The following is a 23,086-nucleotide window of genomic DNA, read 5'->3' as shown; positions in this document are numbered from 1 at the left end:
TTGAATAAAAATGAACATTTAACAACTTGTGAGATTAAGGTAAAGCTAGGCTTTGAGGAAAATTTCTAGCCTCAATTGTACACATTGGAAAAGAAGAAAAGCTAAAATTCACTCTTTGTTCATTTCACGAAGTTAGAAAAGAAAAGCAAGTTAAACCCAAGGACTATAGAATGAAATAAACTATAGGTGAGAATAGAGAAAATAAAAGAAGCCAAAAAGTGGTTCTTTTAAATAGACCAGTAGAATTAACAGACCACTAGTTACATATTACTACTGTACTTGATCTTAGCCAAAAGACCAAGAAGTGATTGTTATACAGTATTGATCAAGAAAAAGAAGACACAAGGAGTAATAGCAGGAATCAAATAGAGGATATTGCTAGAGATACCACAAATATTAAAAAGATGAGGATTTTTATGAGTATTATATACTAAATTTGGAAAAACAAAAGGATTGACATTCCTTGAAAAACACAAGTTAAAATTTGCATTGTAAGAAATATAAAAACTTGAAGAGAACTTAGAAGTATTTTTAAAAAGTGTGAGTTTGTAACTAAAAATTTTTTCATGAAGAACATTCCAGGTCAAGATGGCTTCACGTGTTACTTCTTCCAAACTTTTAAGGTAAAAATAACGTGAATCTTATAGAAACTCTTCCTGAGGATAAAAAAGAGGACCATGTTTTAATGTTGCCAATGTAACCTTAATATCAAAATCTAACAAGGAAATTAAAACATTATCTCTTGAACATTGATGTACATTTTTTTTTTTTTTTGAGATGGAGTCTTGCTCTGTCTCCCAGGCTGGAGTGCAGTGGTGCAATCTCAGCTCACTGCAAGCTCCGCCTCCTGGGTTCACACCATTCTCCTGCCTCAGCCTCCTCAGTAGCTGGGATTACAGGCGCCCGCCACCACGCCTGGCTAATTTTTTTTATATTTTTTAGTAGAGACGGGGTTTCACCGTGTTAGCCAGGATGGTCTCAATCTCCTGACCTCGTGATCCGCCCGCCTCAGCCTCCCAAAGTGCTGGGATTACAGGCGTGAGCCACCGCGCCCGGCCCCATTGATGTAAATATTTTAAACAAAATATTATTGAATTAAATACAGTGATAAAAATAATATTTCACAGTAAGATTGGGATTATTCCAGGTGCACATCAGTTACTGGTTATATTGACTTGAATTTAGTACAACGTTCTTAATGACATTTGTAAAATTTTAAAAATTGTACAAGTGTAAAAACTATGAAATGAAATGTAATTTTTAGTTTTGTGTACTCTGTCCTAACCTTGTAATTATTTAGAAGTTCTCTGACAGTTTAATTGCATGATTTGCTGTTCTTAAACATTCTTTATTATGGGAATAATTTTTAAATATAGTTTGCACTGAAGGTTTATTAAAAATATAATTTGTCTGTAACTAATTTCTCAGTTTTAAAGAGACCTAAGTTATAGTTCCTAGTTTGATATACTCCTCTCTTGACTGCTTTAAATATTAATTCAATTAAAAAATTATATGATTGTGTTGGCAATTTTATTGGTTAAAAGATTAGGTCCAATTTTAAGCAGCATTTCTTTCTATAAGGAAGCTTTCAAATAAAGGTGTTTTTCTTTCCTTTAAAAAGTAAAATGAGTAGGCATAGTGCTTCTAAGGGTGAGCCAGTTAACTGGAAACTGAGATCTTTTGTTAAATGCTTAATTTTATAATTTATTTTTTTCCTCTTGGTATGTGTGGTTTTTATATGATTCATCTTACGATTTTTGTTTTAATTTACATTATATGTATTTAAAGGATAAAGCATAAATGTATTATATGTGCTGAATTTTAATAACATTAAACAGATGAAAATTGAACACAGACTGGATATTATATAATTTAAGGCATTATTTTTCAGTTTCATAATGTTATATTTTTAAGAAAATGCCTATTTATATTCTTACAAAGATACATACTAAACAATTACAAGAGAAATGTATTTGCTTTAAATTATTTCAGAAAAAATAATGGGGAAGGGGAATGGATTGAAAAAAGAATGTCAGAAATTGGGCCGGGTAGCTGTAGTTCTGTAGTCCCAGCTACTCAGAAGGCTGAGGTAGGAGGATTGCTTGAGCCTATGGGTACTAGTCTGGGCAACATAGCGAGACCAGTCTCAAAAAAAATAAAAATAGAGAGGGACAAAATGTTGATAATTGTTGAAGCTGGATTATTGGAACATGGGGTTCATTATACTGTTTTCTCTATATTGTGTATTTGAGAACTTTCATAATAAAGCACTTTAAAAATTCACAAAACAGATGTAAACATACTTTTACTTAGAGATTTCAAAGTCCGTATCTATGAAGTAAAATATTATAGTTTCTGTCTGATAATATTTATTTTAAAATAAACATACAACATACGAACATACAGTTTTGTATTTTCAAAAACAGGGTAATGAATTAATATACCAGTTACAAGAATGAGCATTTTGGGTTTTGTTTTCTCCTGAAAATAAAATTTTTTTACCTTTAGTGATTCATGTGATGGTATGACACACTGTTCTATGATATACAGATTTATTTTGTTTTCATAATAATATAGATTTTCAGTTTTACAAAAATAAACCTCAAAAATTGTCTCTTTTCTGTTCATTTTTTATACCAGCTTTATTGAGATACAATTCACATAACATGTAGTTTACTTGTTTAAAGTATATAGTTCATTGGTTTTTAGTATATTCACACATAATGTACAACTATCACAACAGTCAATTTTATAACATTTTCTTCACCTCATAAAGAAATTCCATACACTTTTTGCTATCCCGTAACCCCACATTCTCCACGGCCGTGTGGTGTTTTGGTGTTACCAGAGAATTTTGTTTTAGCTATTTTTATATGTGCATTGTGGTTTTAATTTGCATTTCTTTAATGACTAATGATGTTGAACATGATGGGCTTATTTGCCCATTGTATATCTTCTTCAGTGAAATGTTTGCTCATGTCTTTGCCTATTTTCTACTTGAACTGTTTGTAATAATACAGTTCAGTTTTGAGAGTTCTCTGTGTATTCTAGACACTCGTGTTGTGTTGGATATTTTCTACCAGTCTGTCCTTTTCTTCACAGGGTGTTTTGCACAGCAGAAGTTTCAATTTTGATGAAGTATGATTGATTAGTTTTTTTTTAATAGATCATACTTTTGTCATCAAGTCTAAGAATTCATTGTCTACCCATAGATTCTGAAGGTTTTTCTCTTACATTGCCTGGAAGTTGATAGTTTAAAATTTTATTACTAAATCTGTGATCCATTTTAAGTTAATTTTTGTATAAAGTGTGCGTTTTAAGTGAAGGTTCGTTTTTTGCCTATGGATGTCCATTTACTCCACCAGTTTGTTGAAAATTCTTGGCCAGGCTTGGTGGCTCACCTGTAATCCCAGCACTATGGGAGGCCAACCCAGGAGGATTGCTTGAGTCTAGAGGTTCACATCCAGCCTGGGCAACATAGTGAGACCTTGCCTTTACTAAAAATAAAAAATTAGCTGGGCGTGGTGGCATGTGTTTGTGGTCCCAGCTGCTCTGGAGGATCGCCGCATTCCAGCCTTGGGGAGAGAGTGAGACCTTGTCTAAAAATAAATAAATAAAAGAAAAATTCTTTTCTTTCTCTGTTGAATTGCATTTGCAATTTTATAAAAAATTAGCTGGCCATATAAGCGTGGGTGTATTTCTGGGTTCTATATTGTGTTTCATATGTTTTTTGTTCCATCAATTCTATACTGACTTGATTAACTCTGTGGTAAGCCTTAATATTGGGTAGAGTGATTGCTTCTTTTCTTTTTCAAAATTGTTTTTAGCTATTTTAGGTCCTTTGTCTTTCTATATACATTTTTGGAATGAACTTATTTACATCAAAAATGTTACTGGGAGTTTATAGAACAATTACAATGATGGATCAATTTAGAGAGAGTTAATCAATTTAGAGAGAGTATCTTTACTATGCTGAATCTTGCAGCCTATGAACATGGAATGTCCCTCTATTTCTTTAGGCCTTCTTCTGTTTCTTTCATCAGCATTTTATAATTTTCAAGATAGACATTCTGTACTTTTTTGTTGGACTTATAACTATTTCATTTTCTTTTTGCGATTATAAGTTTTAAATTTAATTTCCACACATTTATTAGTATATAGAAATGCAATGGACATTTAGAGTGTTGGTCTTGTATCCTGCAACTTTACTGAACCCATATAATTCTTGGAGTTTTTATGTGTATTCTCTGGGATTTTCTATTATGTCATCTAAAAATAGGGACAGTTTTATTTCCTCCTTTCCTGTCTGTATGTCTTTTTTCCTATGATTTTGTTTTGTTTTGTTTTTTGTGGCACTGTCTAGAATGTTCAGTACTATATTGAACAAGCTATTGAATAAGCATGGTGATAGGAGACACCTTTCCCTTGTTCCAGATCTGGGAGGAAAGCAGTTTTGCACCACTAAGTATTATGTTAGCTGTAGGTATTTTTATGGATGTTCTTTATCAAGTTGAGGAAGTTACCATCTATTATGATTTAATGCAAATTTTTATTATGAGTGGATGTTGGATTTTGTGAAATGCTTTTCCTGTATCAGTTGATATGATCTGATGATTTTTGTTGTTTAGCCTATTGACAGTGGTGAATTACATTGATTGATTTTTTTTTTTTTTTTTTTGAGACAGAGTCTTGCCCTGTCACCCAGGCTGGAGTGCAATGGTATGATCTCAGCTCACTGCAACCTCTGCCTCTTGGGTTCAAGTGATTCTCCTGCCTCAGCCTCCCGAGTAGCTGGGATAACAGGCACGCACCACCACGCCCAGCTAATTTTTGTGTCTTTAGTAGACACGTGGTTTCACCATGTTGGCCAGGCTAGTCTCAAACTCCTCACCTTGTGATCCGCCCACCTAGGTCTCCCAAAGTGCTGGGATTACAGGCATGAGCCACCGTACTCAGCCCATTGATTTTTTTTAAATATTATTATACTTTTAGTTCTAGGGTACATGTGCACAACATGCAGGTTTGTTACACAGGTATACATGTGCCATGTTGGTGTACTGCACCCATCAACTTGTCATTTGCATTAGGTATTTTTCCTAATGCTATCCCTCCCACAGTCCCTCACCCCACGACAGGCCCCAGTGTGTGATGTTCCCCACCCTGTGTCCAGGTGTTCGCGTTGTTCAGTTCCCACCTATGAGTGAGAACATGCAGTGTTTGGTTTCTGTCCTTGTGATAGTTTGCTGAGAATGATGGTTTCCAGCTTCATCCATGTCCTTACAAAGGACATGAACTCATCCTTTTTTATGGCTGCATAGTATTCCGTGGTGTGTATGTGCCACATTTTCTTAATCCAGTCTATCATTGATTGACATTTAGATTGATTCCAAGTCTTTTCTATTGTGAATAGTGCCACAATAAACATACGTGTGCATATGTCTTTATAATAGCATGATTTCTAATCCTTTGGGTATATACCCAGTAATGGGATTGCTGGGCAAGTGGTATTTCTAGTTCTAGATTCTTGAGGAATCGCCACACTGTCTTCCACAGTGGTTGAACTAATTTACACTCCCACCAACAGTGTAAAAGCATTCCTGTTTTTCCATGTCCTTGCCAGCATCTGTTGTTTCCTGACTTTTTAATGATTGCCATTCTAACTGGTGTGAGACGGTATCTTATGTGGTTTTGATTTGCATTTCTCTGATGATCAGTGATGATGAGCATTTCTTCATGTGCCTGTTGGCTGAATAAATGTTTTCTTTTGAGAAGTGTCTGTGTTCATATCCTTTGCCCACTTTTTGATGGGGTTGTTTTTTTCTTGTAAATTTGTTTAAGTTCTTTGTAGATTCTAGATATTAGCCCTTTGTCAGATGAGTAGATTGCAAAAATTCTCTCCCATTCTGTAGGATGCCTGTTCACTCTGACGGTAGTTTGCTCTGCTCTGCAGAAGCTCTTTAGTTTAAGTAGATCCCATTTGTCAATTTTGGCTTTTGTTACCATTGCTTTTGGTGTTTTAGTCATGAAGTCTTTGCCCATGCTTATGTCCTGAATGGTATTGCCTAGGTTTTCTTCTAGAGTTTTTATGGTTTTAGGTCTAACATTTAAGTCTTTAATCCATCTTGAATTAATTTTTGTATAAGGTGTAAGGAAGAGATCCAGTTTCAGCTTTCTACACATGGCGAGCCAGTTTTCCCAGCACCGTTTATGAAATAGGGAATCCTTTTTCTTGTTTTTGTCAGGTTTGTCAAAGGTCAGATGGTTGTAGATGTGTGGTGTTATTTCTGAGGCCTCTGTTCTGTTCCATTGGTCTATATATCTGTTTTGGTACTGGTACCATGCTGTTTTGGTTACTGTAGCCTTGTAGTATAGTTTGAAGTCAGGTAGTGTGTTGCCTTCAGCTTTGTTCTTTTTGCGTAGGATTGTCTTGACAATGCGGGCTCTTTCTTGGTTCCATATGAACTTTAAAGTAGTTTTTTCCAATTCTGTAAAGAAAGTCATTGGTAGCTTGATGGGGATGGCATTGAGTCTGTAAATTACCTTGGGCAGTATGGCCATTTTCACAATATTGATTCTTCCTGTCCATGAGCATGGAATATTCTTCCATTTGTTTGTGTCCTCTTTTATTTTGTTGAATAGTGGTTTGTGGTTCTCCTTGAAGAGATCCTTCACGTCCCTTGTAAGTTGGTTTCCTAGGTATTTTATTCTCTTTGAAGCAATTGTGAATGGGAGTTCACTCATGATTTGGCTCTCTGTTTGTCTGTTATTGGTGTATAGGGAATGCCTGTGGTTTTCGCACCTTGATTTTATATCCTGAGGCTTTGCTGAAGTTGCTTATCAGGTTAAGGAGATTTTGGGCAGAGACGATGGGTTTTTTAAATATACAATCATGTCATCTGCAAACAGGGACAATTTGACTTCCTCTTTTCCTAATTGAATACCCTTTATTTCTTTCTCTTGCCTGATTGCCCTGGCCAGAACTTCCAACACTGTGTTGAAGAGGAGTGGTGAGAAAGAGCATCCTTGTCTTGTGCCCGTTTTCAAAGGGAATGCTTCCAGTTTTTGCCCATTCAGTGAGATATTGCCTGTGTGTTTGTCATAAATAGCTCTTATTATTTTGAGATACATCCCATCAATACCTAGTTTATTGAGAGTTTTTAGCATGAAGTGCTGTTGAATTTTGTCAAAGGCCTTTTCTGTATCTATTGAGATAATTGCGGTTTTTGTCTTTTTTTCTGTTTATATAATGGATTACATTTATTGATTTGTGTATGTTGAACCAGCCTTGCATCCCAGGGATGAAGCCAACTTGATGGTGGTGGATAAGCTTTTTGATGTGCTGCTGGATTCGGTTTGCCAGTATTTTATTGAGGATTTTCGCATCAATGTCCATCAGGGAGATTGGTCTAAAATTCTCTTTTTTTGTTTTTGTGTCTCTGTCAGGCTTTCATATCTGGATGATGCTGGCCTCATAAAATGAGTTAGGGAGGATTCCCTTTTTTTCTATTGATTGGAATAGTTTCAAAAGGAATGATACCATCTCCTATTTGTACCTCTGGTAGAAGTTGGCTGTGAATCTGTCTGGTCTTGGGTTTTTGTTGGTTGGTAGGCTATTAATTATTGCCTCAATTTCAGAACCTGCTGTTGGTCTATTCAGAGATTCGATTTCTTCCCAGTTTAGTCTTGGGAGGGTGTATGTGTCCAGGAATTTATCCATTTCTTCTAGATTTTCTAGTTTATTTGTGTAGAGGTGTTTGTAGTATTCTCTGATGGTAGTTTGTATTTCTTTGGGATCTGTGGTGATATCCCCTTTATCATTTTTTATTGTGTCTATTTGATTCTTCTCTCTTTTCTTCTTTGTTAGTCTTGCTAGTGGTCTATCAATTTGGTTGATCTTTTCAAAAAAAACACCTCTTGGATTCATGTATTTTTTGAAGGATTTTTTGTGTCTCTGTCCCCTTCAGTTCTGCTCTGATCTTAGTTATTTCTTGACTTCTGCTAGCTTTTGAATGTGTTTGCTCTTGCTTCTCTAGTTCTTTTAATTGAGATGTTAGGGTGTCAATTTTAGATCTTTCCTGCTTTCTCTTGTGGGCATTTAGTGCTATAACTTTCCCTTTACACACTGCTTTAAATGTGTCCCAGGGATTCTGGTACGTCGTGTCTTTGTTCTGCTTGGTTTCAAAGAACATCTTTATTTCTGCCTTTATTTCGTTATTTACCCAGTAGTCATTCAGGAGCAGGTTGTTCTGTTTCCATGTAGTTGTGAGGTTTTGAGTGAGTTTCTTAATCCTGAGTTCTAGTTTGATTGAACTGTGGTCTGAGAGACAGTTTGTTGTGATTTTTATCCTTTTACATTTGCTGAGGAGTGCTTTACTTCCAATTATGTGGTCAGTTTTAGAATAAGTGCTATGTGGTGCTGAGAAGAATGTATATTCTGTTGATTTGGGTTGGAGAGTTCTGTAGATGTCTATTAGGTCGGCTTGGTGCAGAGCTGAGTTCAAGTCATGGATATCTTTGCTAACCTTCTGTCTCATTGATCTGTCTAATGTGGATAGTGGGGTATTAAAGTCTCCCATTATTATTGTGTGGGAGTCTAAGTCTCTTTGTAGGTCTCTAAAGACTTGCTTTATGAATCTGAGTGTATTGGGTGCATATATATTTAGGATAGTTAGCTCTTCTTGTTGAATTGATCCCTTTACTAGTATGTAATGGCCTTCTTTGTCTCTTTTGATCTTTGTTGGTTTAAAGTCTGTTTTATCAGAGACTAGGATTGCAACCCCTGTTTTTTTTTGCTTTCCATTTGCTTGGTAGATTTTCCTCCATCCCTTTATTTTGAGCCTGTGTGTGTCTCTGCACATGAGATGGGTCTCCTGCATACAGCACACTGATGGGTCTTGACTCTGTCCAATTTGCCAGTCTGTGTCTTTTAATTGGGGCATTTAGCACATTTATATTTAAGGTTAATATTATTATGTGTGAATTTGATCCTGTCATTATGATGTTAACTGGTTATTTTGCCCGTGAATTGATGCAGTTTCTTCCTAGTATCCATGGTCTTTACCATTTGGTATGTTTTTGCAGTGGCTGGTACTGGTTGTTCTTTTCCATGTTTAGTTCTTCCTTCAGGAGCTCTTTTAGGGCAGGCCTGGTGGTGAGAAAATCTCTCAGCATTTGCTTGTCTGTGAAGTATTTTATTTCTCCTTCACTTATGAAGCTTAGTTTGGCTGGATATGAAATTCTGGGTTGAAAATTTTTTGTTTAATAATGTTGAATATTGGCCCCCACTGTCTTCTGGATTGTAGGGTTTCTGTCGAGAGATCCACTGTTAGTCTGATGGGCTTCCCTTTGTGGGTAACCCTACCTTTCTCTCTGGCTGCCCTTAACACTTTTTCCTTCATTTCAACCTTGATGAATCTGACAATTATGTGTCTTGGGGTTTCTCTTCTCAAGGAGTATGTTCATGGTATTCTCTGTAGTTCCTGAAGTTGAATGTTGGCCTGTCTTGCTAGGTTGGGGAAGTTCTCCTGGATAATATCCTGAAGAGTGTTTTCCAACTTGGTTCCATTCTCCCCATCTCTTTCACGTACACCAGTCATACGTAAATTTGGTCTTTTCACATAGTCCCATATTTCTTGGAGGCTTTGTTCGTTTCTTTTTACTCTTTTTTCTCTAATCTTGTCTTCTCCTTTCGTTTTATTAATTCGATCTTCAATCACTGATATCCTTTCTTCCACTTGATCGAATCCGCTATTGAAGCTTGTGCATGCATCACGAAGTTCTCTTGCCACGGTTTTCAGTTCTATCAGGTCATTTAAAGTCTTCTCTCCACTGTTCATTCTAGTTAGGCATTCGTGGAACCTTTTTTCAATGTTTTTTAGCTTCCTTATGTTGGGTTAGAACATGCTCCTTTAGTTTGGAGAAGTTTGTTATTACTGGCCTTCTGAAGCCTACTTCTGTCAACTCGTCAAAGTCATCCTCCATCCAGCTTTGTTCCATTGCTGGCGGGGAGCTGTGATCCTTTGGAGGAGAAGAGGCGCTCTGGTTTTTAGAATTTTCAGCTTTTCTGCTCTGGTTTCTCCCCATCTTTGTGGTTTTATCTACCTTTGATCCTTGATGTTGGTGACCTACAGATGGGGTTTTGGTGTAGATGTCCTTTTTGTTGATGTTGATGCTATTCCTTTGTGTTTGTTAGTTTTCCTTCTGACAGTCAAGTCCCTCAGCTGCAGGTCTGTTGGAGTTTGCTGGAAGTCCCCTCCAGAACCTGTTTGCCTGGGTATCACCAGTGGAGGTTGCAGAACAGCAAGTATTGCTGCCTGATCCTTCCTCTGGAAGCTTTGTCCCAGAAGGGCACTCACCTGCATGAGGTGTCTGTTGGCCCCTACAGGGAGGTATCTTCCAGTTAGGCTACTTGGGCGTTAGGGACCCACTTGAGGAGGCAGTCTGTCTGTTCTCTGAGCTCAAATGCCATGCTGGGAGAACCACTACTCTCTTTAGAGCTGTCAAACCTGGACGTCTAAGTCTGCAGAAGTTTCTGCTGCCTTTTGTTCAGCTATGCTCTGGCCACAGAGGTGGAGTCTATAGAGGCAGTAGGCCTTGCTGAGCTGCTGTGGTCTCCACCTGGTTCGAGCTTCCCGGCCACTTTGTTTACCTCCTCAAGCCTCAGCAATGGCGGATGCCCCTCCCCCTGCCCGACTGTAGCCTCACAGGTGGATCTCAGACTGCTGCGCTAGCAGTGAGTGAGGCTCCATGGGCGTGAGACCTGCTGAGCCAGGCGCGGGAGAGAATCTCCTGGTCTTCCAGTTGCTAAGACCATGGGAAAAGCGCAGTATTTGGTTGGGAGTTTCCTGTTTTTCCAGGTACAGTCTGTCACGGCTTGCCTTGGCTAGGAAAGGGAAATCCCTGGATCCCTTGTATTTCCTGGGTGAGGCGGCACCCAGCCCTGCTTTGGCTCGCCTTTTGTGGGCGCCTCCTGTCCAACCAGTCACAATGAGATGAACCAGGTACCTCAGTTGGAAATGCAGAAATCCTTTCTTCTGCGTCGATCACGCTGGGAGCTGCAGACTGGAGCTGTTCCTATTCACCCATGTTGGTCGAAGATCCCCCGTTGATTGGTTTTTGAATGGTGAACTGGGATGGCATATCTGAAATAAATTTCACTTGGTCATAGCTTATAATTGTTTATATATTGGTATATTTCATATACTATTATTTTGTTGAAAATGTTTGCGTCTCAGTTCATGAGAGATTTTGGTAAGTCATTTAATTTTTTTGTACTGTGTAATTTTTTTTTTTTAACAGAGTAACAATATTAGCTTTGCATAACTTGAAATGTATTTCCTTATCTTCTATTTTATGGAATAGCTTGCATAGAACTAGTGTGAATCTTTTAAAAAGTTTTTAGTTGAATTTGCCAGAGAAACCATCTGGGTTGAGAGAAACTTCTTTCTTTTAAATTGTATATTGAGTTTCTTTAACAGTTACGGGGCTATCCAGATTGTCTATTTTATCTTTGTTGAATTTTAGTAGCTAGTGGTTTTGGTGGGATTGATCCATTTATTCCATGTCATTGAATTTATTGGCATAAAGTTGTTTGTAGTATTCCTTTCTTATACTTTTAATGGGTGGAAGATCTGTAGTAATGTTCCTGTTTAATTCCTATTGTGAACATACTTTGTGTGATGTCAGTTATTTTATACTTGTAGAAGTTTATTTTATGCCTCAGATATGGTTTATCATGGTTAATGTTCTGTGAGCATTTGAAATTTTTTTTCACTGTTGTTGGATAGATTTTTGTATATATGTCATTTTCTGTTGGTTGATCTTATTCATTTCTTTTATATTAATACATTTGCTGATTTTCTGTCAATAGTTCTGTCAGTTGCTGTTTTTCCACAATGTATCTTCAGTTTCATTTGTTTGGTATTTGTACATTTAGGAATGTATCCTATATCCTATATCCTATAATGTTTTGTGTTCATTATGGAATGATACTTTTTATCATTATCCAATATATTTTTTGTCCTTAGTAATTTTCTTTGTTCAGGATTCTCTATTACTTACCCTCTCCTGATTTATTAATGTTTGCATGGCATATCTTTTCTGTTCTTTTACTTTCAGCCTACCTGTGTTTTGTATTTAGATGAGTTGCTTTTAGATAACATATAGTTTAAGTGTATTTTTAAGTATATGCATATCTAAGTATATACTTATGTACTGGTTTTGTAAGCTGAGCTCCCTGCTTGACCACACATACATATGTGTATACTTAAAAATGTACTTAAACTAATACTTAAAAACATACTTAAACTATAGGTATATAAGTATATATGTATATACATACACACACACACACACACACACATACACTCACACTTATGTGTTTAAATAATTAAAGAGTTTATGGAGTCCCAGCCTGTGTGATTTAATTTGGATATTTAGAACATTTACATTTAAGGTAATTATTGATAAATCTGTTCATTTTATTATTTATGTTTTCTGTCTCTGAACTGCTTTGCATTTCTTGCCTGTCTATGGGGTACTTGAAAGTTTTTTTGATTCTCTTTTGATTTACTCATAGTATTTTAAACAATATTGATTTGTATAGGTTCCTTAGTGGTTACTTTAGGTATAACATTATACATACGTAATTTATCACAGTTTACTGATATTGGCATACACCACTGTGAGTGAAATTTAGAAACCTTACCTTTTAATTGGTTTCCTTAACTCTCTCCATTTTTAAAATATAATTATCTCAAATATTTTATCTGTATACATCGAGCACTACTTCAGTTGGTGATACAATTTTGCATTACTATGAAAGATGATTCAGAAAATTCATGAGAAGGATAATTATACATATGAGTCCCAACTTATGACTTTTCAACTTTATGATGCTGTGATAGCAATATGCATTCAATAGAAACTATATTTTGAGTATCCATGCTGAATCTTACCCAACAGCTGAAAGTGTTTTTCACTATCAGTATAGTATTCATTAAATTACATGAGTTATTTAACACTCTATTATAAAATAGGCTTTGTATTAGATGATTTTGCCCAACTGTAGGCTCTTAGTGTTCTCAGCATATTTAAGGTAGTCTAGGCTAGTTATGTTTGGTAGGGTAAGTGTATTAAATCCATTTTTGATTTGATATTTCAAACTTACTGTGTATGAGTTTATCAGGTTGTGACCACATTGTAAGTTGAGGAGCAACTTGTATTTACCTCCATTTTTAACCATTGCAATGTTCTTTCCTTTTTGAAATTTCAAACCTTCTTTGAATATTTATTTATTTATTTACTTTTTTGAGATGGAGTTTTGCTCTTGTTGCCCAGGCTGGAATGCCATGGTGCGATCTCAGCTCACTGCAACCTCCACATCCCAGGTCCAAGCGATTCTTCTGTCTCAGTCTCCCAAGTAGCTCGGATTACAGGCATGTGCCACCATGTCTGCTAATTTTTTTGTATTTAGTAGAGATGGGGTTTCACCATGTTAGGCTGGTCATTAACTTCTGACCTCAGGTGATCCACCCCCCTTGGCCTCCTAAAGTGCTGGGATTACAGGCATGTGCCACCACCCCTGGCCTCAAACCTTCTTTCGTTAAATTTCATTTCTCTTTTGGGAACTTTCTTTAGCCATTTATTAAAGGTAGTTTTGCTAGTGATTTATTCTCTTAGTTTTTCTTTTATCTGTGAATGCCTTTATTTTCCTTTCATTCTGAAGGATATGTTCACCACATATATTAATAAAATTCACAATGGGCAGTTCTTTCAGTCCCTTGATAAATGTGCCACTTCCTCTTGGCTTCCATTGTTTCAGATGAGGAATCTGCTGTAATTTGAATTGGTGTTTCTCTATAGGTAATATGTCTTCTGACTGCTTTCAATATTTTTTTGTGTGTATTTAGTTTTCAGAGGTTTAATTATGATTTTTCTTTGTCTTTAGTTTTGAGAGCTTTAATTATGATGTGTCTTACTATGGACTTTTTTGGGTTTATCATATTTGGGATTCACTTACTTTCTTGAATTCATAGTTTTCTCTGTTTCACTAAATTTAGGAATTTTTCAGCCATTATTTTTTCAATACTTTTTCAGTATTGAAAAGTATTTCTTTTTCCTATACTCTCCTTCTTGAACTCTAGTAACTCAAATATTGTCTCACAGGTTCTGAGATTGTTCTTGGTCTTGTGATACCTTTGCAGCAAAAGTATCAAACCAACTTGCATCACTTCCTTTCCTCCTACCGGTTTTATAAGCTCAGCTCCCTGCTTGGCCACCCTCACACTAAGGAGGGGAGAAGTGGAAGCAGGAGTGACTCATATCACCTTGTTACTGTAGGTTGGGGTGGGATCCTGGCTCCCTGCTGGGTTCTGCTGACATAAGGAAAAGGAAAGGGGGAATCCCAGTGTCAAACAAATCTGCCCCCCACTACTTTTTCTGCCTCCCACTACTTTTTCTGCCTCATTGATGCTGGTGATAGCAGAAGCTCAGCTTTCTATAGGGCCTTGCTGATACTGGGTGAGGGTGAGAGCTAGTGAGAGGAGACTTTGTTCACTATTGGGCCCTACTGATGCTACTTGGATAGGGGAATTGGAGTATCATCTATTTCTGTTAGGTGGGAGATGGAAGTTAAGCTCCCAGTTTACCCCTACTGAAACCATGGGGAACAGGGGTTCCATTGGTGTTTGGCTGCAGTAGAGTGGATATTGCTAAAGAGATTTTCTGTTTTGTTAGGCCACCCTTTTTTCTGTGCTTTGTCTTGGCAAAAGAGGCATTTCTTGATGCCTATTTTGTCTTTGCCTATTGATGTTTTTGGAGACTGTTGAAGCATCCTGTCTGGAATACATAGGAGGCAGTAAGGAAACCCATGGAACTCACCAGTTTGCTACTTTTCAAGTCCCCTAAATCCCAAGGCAGTCTACTGTAGTCTATCTCTCAGAGTCTTCCAGTGTTTTATCTAGGGTTTTTAATTGTAAGATGGAGGGCCCGAAATGAAGGAATGGTTACTTCATTTTGGCCAGAACTGGAATTCTTTATATTAGCTTTGAAAGACTGTAATTAGCCAATAAAAATTTACAATTGGGGCTATAAGCACCACTATACATATAAATACCTCAACATTGTCATATTTTAGAGAAAGATTCTTATTTATTTTAGGCTATTTTTTGTGATTTTTTTTAGGCTATTTTGGTGTGGCTTTGAACGTAGGCCCTTAGTTTCCATGTATATGTGGTGAAATATTAGACTAGATCCTCTGGGTGCTATCAATTAATATCCTATAATTTTATCCTAAAAATAGTTTATTTAAATCAAGGTATGCTGTTGATGCTGGGATGGAGGAAAGAACTCAGACTTTGGAGGTAGATGTTTGGATTCTGAAAGATGAAGAGACAGTTTTTATATGGCCGTTGGGATGGACACCAGAACCAATGTACCTAGACTAGAATTTTGGCATTACCTTTACTCTGTGCGTGATCTGGGATAAATTACTTAATTTCTCTTTGTCTCAGTTTCCTCATTGCTTAAATGGGTATGATAATACTGATCTTATAGGATTATTGTGAAGATTAAAAGAGATATAATATATAAAGCACTTAAAACAGTACTCACACATAGTATTCACTATTTAAATATTTATTATTACTCACTGGCCTTAGGTCAGCCTTAATCTGAATTTCAGTTTTGTCATTTGTAAAGTAGGAATAATTATACATACATTTATTTAAATATGTATATACAAATATACATTTTGTATAATACTCTCATGTTTGTATATTAGTTATATTTGTTGGGAATTAAATTGGAAAATGTTTTTATTCTATGAGTTTCCAAATATTTTTATCATCTAAATAAATCTTGATTTGTTTTTTACTTTAATTGCATAGAACGGAAAGATGCTGAAGGATGGGAGACCGTTCAGAGAGGAAGGCCTATTCGTTCTCGATCAACAGCAGTGATGCCAAAAGTTTCATTGGCAACAGAAGCCACAAGATCAAAGGATGACAGTGATAAAGAAAATGTATGTCTTTTACCTGATGAAAGCATACAGAAAGGTCAATTTGTTGGAGATGGAACTTCTAATACTATAGAATCTCATCCCAAAGACTCATTACACTCTTGTGACCATCCTCTTGCCGAAAAAACCCAGGTAGTACATTCTGAAAATCCTTTTACTGTCTTTTTCAAAGGTGTATGTGTACATGTGTACTGGAATGTCTTAGTTTTGTACTTCATTTTTTAACTTACTGTGAAAATTTTCAGGTCTATAGACCTACAGAAAAGTGGCAAGAATAGAACAACGAACTCCTCCCATACTGTTCACCTACATTCACAAATTAACATTTGCCACATTTTTTCTTTTCTCTTGTTACATATTACACATACATGTTAAATGCTTAACATTTGAGAGTAATGTGCAAACATCATAAGCATTCACCTTTAAATCCTAGAGCATGGATCTCCAAAGAACAAAGACATTTATTTATATAACCACATTACAATTATAAAATTTGGAGAATTTGATATCTATGTATTATTTAATTTATAGTCTATATTTAAAGTGTTTTAGTTTTCCCAATAATTTTTTTAAATAGAATTTCCTCCAGGATCCAGTGTGGAATTACTCAGTTCATTTGGTATGTTTCTTTAATATCTTTCATTGGATATAGTTCCTCCACCTGTCTTTGTCTTTCATGACATTAATAGTTTTGAAGAATACATTGTAGGGTTTTTTTTTTGTACATTGTCCTTTGTCCATAATTCAATTTAGCTTATGCATTTTTGGTAGGAATAAAGTGATTGTCCTTAGTGTCACATCTAGAGGCATATGGTATCAGTTTGGTTAGGTTTGTTATTAACTTTGAGTACTTGGTTAAGGTGATGTCTTTGTGCCTCATTTGCAGTGTTAAAATTTGAACTTATTCTACTTACTGAAAATTGAGTGTAATTTGCTAATAATATTTAACATAATTCCTTAAAGTTAATATTCCCAGTATTTGTTCTGTGAGTTGAGTTGATGTTTATTTTACTTATTTGATGAACTAGTTTATACTTTAAGGTATTTGTTTATATAAAGGTTCAGTTCCGTTGGTGTAATTTTATGTAAAATGACTAATGAAAAATAGGAGCTTTTTTTTAAATATCATACTACAGGAACTAAATAGATCAGTTGTAAAATGGTTGTAATATCTTTGGTCCAGAATAATATCTGCTTTTTAAAATTCTTTCTCTTTTTACCTGTAGGATTTTTTCAGCTGGAAATGCTCCTCAAATTCCTTATCTTCCTTTACTGATGAGAATGACTCTTAACATTGTTTCCGATCTATAAACTCTTTAATGTGTATTGGTTTTATGCCTGTGTGAGATTGCAGATTCCTTTTGGGCAGTATTTTATGTTGCTTTTTAATTTCTAACAATATGGAAGAGTCCTAAACGCATAGGAAGTAATTGGTATACATTTGTTGGATGTAACTTTAAGAAACTCTTTAGTGTTGTAAGCTGCATTAGAGATACTTAGTGAATAAACTACTTTTTATAATACTTAACCAACAGCTAGCATTTTTGCTGTGTTCAGCTAAAAATATAACTTAGTATAAAAATTATGCAATGTGTGTAGTGAATAAACCTATATGCTATTGAGATTTCAGGAATAATCTGTACATAGAACTTTTTGACAAGTAAACTATTGCTAAAATTTTTCAGTATAAAAGTTCACTGCTGATGGCAGCCAAGTTAATGATATTTGTTTTCTTCACTGTCATTCTAAAGATGGAATTAGCATATTAATGTCTTTACTTCATATTTTAGCTTTGATTTTGTTATAAAAATGATACTGAGTTTTTTAATAAGTGGGATTGAGTAGTGTACACATAAGTAATGCTAATATAAATATTGCCAAGAAGATTATAAACCATGGCGACTGACATATAAATAATGTTGATAGCAGTATAAACAATGTTATATCCTTTAAATAAGGCTTATGCTAAAATCAACACTTTGGGACACTTTAAGTTCTGACCAATAGTAGAATTTTTAAAGTAGTTTATGAGACTTAGCCAAGTTTGATATTTGTATAAATAATTAATCAAACTGGGGGGAGGTTTATGGCCACTGCAGCATTTATCTAATGTTTATTTAAGAAGTGATGGGAGTTTTAAATTCATAATTTTAGATTTTAGTTCTTTGACTTAGAGTATCATTGGAAAACACAGTACTATTGTTTCTCTTCTCTGTCCAAAGTAAAAATAAAGGCTTGACTCTGCTAAATTGGAAGGTTTTTAAAAAATGGGTATGTATTTAGCCTAAGCCACTGTTTGCTTTTTATATTGTATTTACATTTCTGTTGGTTTGTTATTAAATATTCCTAAAGGACAATAGGGAAGATATCTAAATCTAAAGTGTATGAATGTCATAATGAGACACTACATGCTTTCAATCTTCACCCTTAGGTCATGCTTTTCTCTTTCAGATCGGAGAATTGGGTTCATGTACCATATGAATTTTTAACAAAGATACTTTGAGATCATGTTAATATTATCTGAAGAGAATAAGTTTTATATTTTTGTGTAAAATGCCCTCCAAATATATTGTTGTAAAAATTGGTTTCAGGATTTTTTCAAAAGTACTGAATGTCCTCATTTGATATTAGACAGTCTTTGCAAAAGACCATGTAAATACTTTTGGTTGTATGAGTATAATACAGTGAATGAATGCCTCATACTTGTGACTAGATTTCATTTGCGAAGGATACAAAATACTCATCACAAATTGGCCTACTACAAGAAAATTACAATATAAATTGCTTAATTTCTTAGAAAACTTTGGATAGTGCCCAGTACATAGTAGGCATGCAAGTAAAATTTGTGCTTAATGGTCCCTGTCCTTTTGTTACACTTGAAACATACAAAAAAGATGAGTAAATTTTCTGTCATCCAGTCAAGTACCTCTTCTTCTTCATAGTTAATAGGTTAAGCAAAATCATCTCTTCTTCTAAAGTGGAATAGTTGGTATTTTTTAATTATCTCTGATTCATTCTCTACGTTTTGTTAGTTCACAGTGAGTACATTGGATGATGTGAAGAATTCTGGCAGTATTCGAGACAATTATGTTCGAACTTCTGAAATATCTGCTGTCCACATTGATACAGAGTGTGTTTCAGTTATGCTGCAAGCTGGTACACCTCCTTTACAAGTAAATGAAGAAAAATTTCCAGCAGAGAAAGCAAGGATAGAAAATGAAATGGACCCTTCAGATATTTCAAATGTGAGTGCTGCTAACTTGGTAAGAACAACTTATCAGAATTCTGAGTATATTTAAGAAGCATAAACCCCAATAATAATAACTTGTATGATTTATACTTTTTAAAGCATTTTTATATATTTATTTCATTTTAACATTTTATTATTTTGGTAAACTTTTGATATAGTTAAGATTCTTATTTTTTAGAGGAAGAAAGTGAGATTGTGAGAGTTAAGTGACTTGTTCAAAATCATTTGGTTTGTATGTGATTTGATCAAATGCTCTTAGCCCAGAATTAAGAATCTAAACTAGTAACAATAAAGTCTTCTATGCTACATCTAGCATTCTGATAGATGGGAAATGGTGTCTGCTAGACTTAGTTTTAAAAACTTTCTTAACAGAGTACTTTAGACAGCCACTATCATTTGCTTGGAGTTGGTCTTTAAGATGAAATTTATTTACCATCCCTATTCCAGAATCTCTAAAAATGCATTGATTTGTGATTATTTATAGATTTATGGTTTTGGATGATAACATATTTCTACCCATCTCTTCCTTTTGCTCATTTTAGTATTAGGATACTTGACCTGGGGATAATCCAGAATAAATCATGCTAACTTTGTTTAAAAACTAGCTTTCCAAAGAAATAGGCACATATAAAAAGCTGTGAAAAATTACTTAATTTTTACTTTTTAAAGGCTGCTGTGGACTATAATTTCTTCTAAAATTTAATGCCTAATGCTGACAGATCTTAACAACACATGGTATTAGGTAAAATTATACATTTTATAGGGATAATAACAGTAGAGATGAAACTTGATATTGGTTGTTTAAGGGTAAAAAGGAAAAGGTTATAGTAATACAAAAAACAAATGTTTAGATTCTTTTAATAAGGTAGAACAATTGATTTTCATCTTGTGTCTTTTAGTAATGAACATTTCTAAATGTTGAACATAATTATGCTCAAATAAGTAGTGAGTTTATTGTATGGGGTGGAATTTGGTCATTTATTTTGTTTTAGCAGTTGTATATCAAATTGTATATTTTTCAGTTTGATTCTGTGAGAATCAAATTTTAAAAGAGGAAAACTCTCATCCTTAAATAAGCATGAAATAATTAAAAATTCTGACCTCATTATTTTTATTTTCATCACATATATAAACTTGCAGAGTCATAAACCCTTTTGGTTATTTTGAGGGTCAAATTTGCATACTTGAAAGAAAATAAATTCTGCTTTAATGTGGATATTAGTGTATTCTTAGAGGTGTTAAGAATACTTTTTGTTTTGTTTTGACAAACCAAGGGTGATAAGGTGATAAGCACCTTATTGTTTAGTTCCCAAGTGGAGAGTTACAGAGAATTCCTGTAGTGATGAGACAACTGTTTTTTCTTTTCTTTCTTTTTTTTTTAAAATTATACTTTAAATTCTAGGGTACATGTGCACAATGTACAGGTTTGTTACATAGGTATACATGTGCCATGTTGGTTTGCTGCACCCATCAACTCGTCATTTACTTTAGGTATTTTTCCTAATGCTATCCCTCCCCCAGCCCCCCACCCCCTGACCAGCCCAGGTATGTGATGTTCCCCGCCCTGTGTCCATGTGTTCTCATTGTTCAACTCCCACCTATGAGTCAGAACATGTGGTGTTTGGTTTTCTGTCCTTGTGATAGTTTGCTTAGAATGATGGTTTCCAGCTTCATCCATGTCCCTGCAAAGGACATGAACTCATCCTTTTTTATGGCTGCATAGTATTCCCTGGTATATATGTGCCACATTTTCTTAATCCAGTCTATCATTGATGGACATTTGGGTTGGTTCCAAGTCTTTACTATTGTGAATAGTGCTGCAATAAACATACGTGTGCGTGTGTCTTTATCGTAGAATGATTTATAATCCTTTGGGTATATGCCCAGTAATGGGATCGCTGGGTCAAATGGTATTTCTAGTTCTAGATCCTTAAGGAATCACCACACTGTCTTCCACAATAGTTGAACTAATTTACACTCCCACCAAGTCTTCCACAATAGTTGAACTAATTTACACTCCCACCAACAGTGTAAAAGCATTCCTATTTCTCCACATCCTCTCCAGCATCTGTTGTTTCCTGACTTTTTAATGATCGCCGTTCTAACTGGTGTGAGATGGTATCTTATGTGGTTTTGATTTGCATTTCTCTGATGAGCAGGATGATGAAAATTTTTTCATGTGTCTGTTGGCTGCACAAATGTCTTCTTTTGAGAAATGTCTGTTCATATCCTTTGCCCACTTTTTGATGGGGTTGTTTTTTTCTTTCACTCTCTTTTTTTTTTTTTTTTTTTTTGAGACAGAGTCTCACTGTGTCCCCCAGGCCAGAGTGCAGTAGTGCAGTCTTGGCTCACTGCAAGCTCCACCTCCCAGGTTCACGCCATTCTCCTGCCTCAGCCTCCCGAGTAGCTGGGACTACAGGCGCTTGCCACCACGCCTGGCTAATTTTTTGTATTTTTTAGTAGAAACGGGGTTTCACCATGTTAGCCAGGCTGGTCTCGATATCCTGACCTCGTGATCCACCCGCCTCGGCCTCCCAAAGTGCTGGGATACAGGTGTGAGCCACCACGCCTGGCCAGGTTGTTTGTTTTTTTCTTGTAAATTTGTTTAAGTTCTTTATAGATTCTGGATATTAACCCTTTGTCAGATGGGTAGATTGCAAAAATTTTCTCCATTCTGTAGGTTGCCTGTTCACTCTGATGATAGTTTTATATAAATTGAATTGTGTAAGCTTTGCTTGACTTCTTTCACTCAACATATTTATTTTGAGATTTATCCATGTAACACAATGTTTGTTCATTCACTTGCCCAAAGACATTTGAATTACATCTTTCTTTAATGAATAAAGATGCCACGAACGTTTTTGTGTACAACTTTATGTGAACATGTATATATATATTTTTTTTTTTTTTTGAGAAAATACCTAGATCAATTTTGTTGATAGTATTGTTCAGGTCTTCTATATCCTTGCTAGTTTTTTGGTTACTTTTTCTGTCAGTTGAAAGAGGGGTACTGAAATCACTGACTGTAACTGTGGATCTATTTCTTTTCTAACGACTGTATTGAGATCATAATTTACGTATAATACAATCCATCTGTTTGAAGTTTACTGTTGTTTTTTAGTATATTCTCCATAATCAGCTTTAGCACTCTTTCATCACTCTAAAAAGAAAACCCAGTGCCCATTAGCAGTTACTCCCTTTCACTCCTCCCACACCTGCCACTGCACTGCTTTCTCTCTATATAATTTTGCCTATTTTAGACATTTCATAGAAATGAAATGCAATATGTGGTCATTTGTGACTGACTTCTTAGCATATTTTAGAGGTTCATTCATGTCTTAGTTTGTCTCAGTACTTTGTTCTTTTTTGTGATCAAATAGTATAGTCCACTGAATGAATGAATATACCACATTTTATTTATTCATCAGTTGATGGACATTTAGGTTGTTTCCACTGTGCTATTATGAATAGCACTGCTTTAAGTATTTGCATAACAGTTTTTGTGTGGGCACATTTTTTATTTCTCCTGGATATATATCTAGGAGTGGAATTGTTGGGTTATATGAACTCTATGTTTAACCATTTGAGCAACTGTCAGACTGCTTTCCAAAGTGGTTGCATCATTTTACATTCTCATTAGGTTTATATTTTTTTGCATTTCTATAGGTTTTTGCCTTATATATTTTGAAGTTCTGTTAGGTCTATAAACATTTAGGACTGTTTTGTCGTCTTGATGAATTGACCCTTTTATTATTATAAATTGGTCTTCTTTATTCCTGGTGATATTTTTTGCACTGAAATCTGTGTCTGATGTTAAT

The 23,086-nt window shown here is 35.3% G+C and overlaps 1 protein-coding gene across 29 annotated transcripts in view; it reads left to right on the top strand.

Annotated features, from left to right (window-relative positions):
* The window catches only part of SCAPER (S-phase cyclin A associated protein in the ER), a 557,437-nt gene that overhangs the window by 114,336 nt on the left and 420,015 nt on the right, over positions 1-23,086 (top strand). For 16 of the 29 annotated variants that reach the window (NR_148227.2, XR_007064448.1, XM_011521653.4 and 13 more), the window contains 2 exons: positions 15,888-16,150; positions 19,051-19,281. Coding sequence is in view for 27 of the 29 variants with exons in the window: in XM_011521653.4 (XP_011519955.1) it covers positions 15,888-16,150; positions 19,051-19,281 (494 nt within the window). In the remaining 2 variants the exon portion in view is untranslated. The remainder of the gene's footprint in view (positions 1-15,887; positions 16,151-19,050; positions 19,282-23,086) is intronic. The other 13 variants (XM_017022273.2, NM_020843.4, NM_001353012.2 and 10 more) reach the window with 1 other exon arrangement.

The sequence above is a fragment of the Homo sapiens genome, chromosome 15 (assembly GCF_000001405.40).
Source record: "Homo sapiens chromosome 15, GRCh38.p14 Primary Assembly".
NCBI lineage: Eukaryota > Metazoa > Chordata > Mammalia > Primates > Hominidae > Homo > Homo sapiens.
This window is presented reverse-complemented; position numbering and strand designations above follow the sequence as displayed.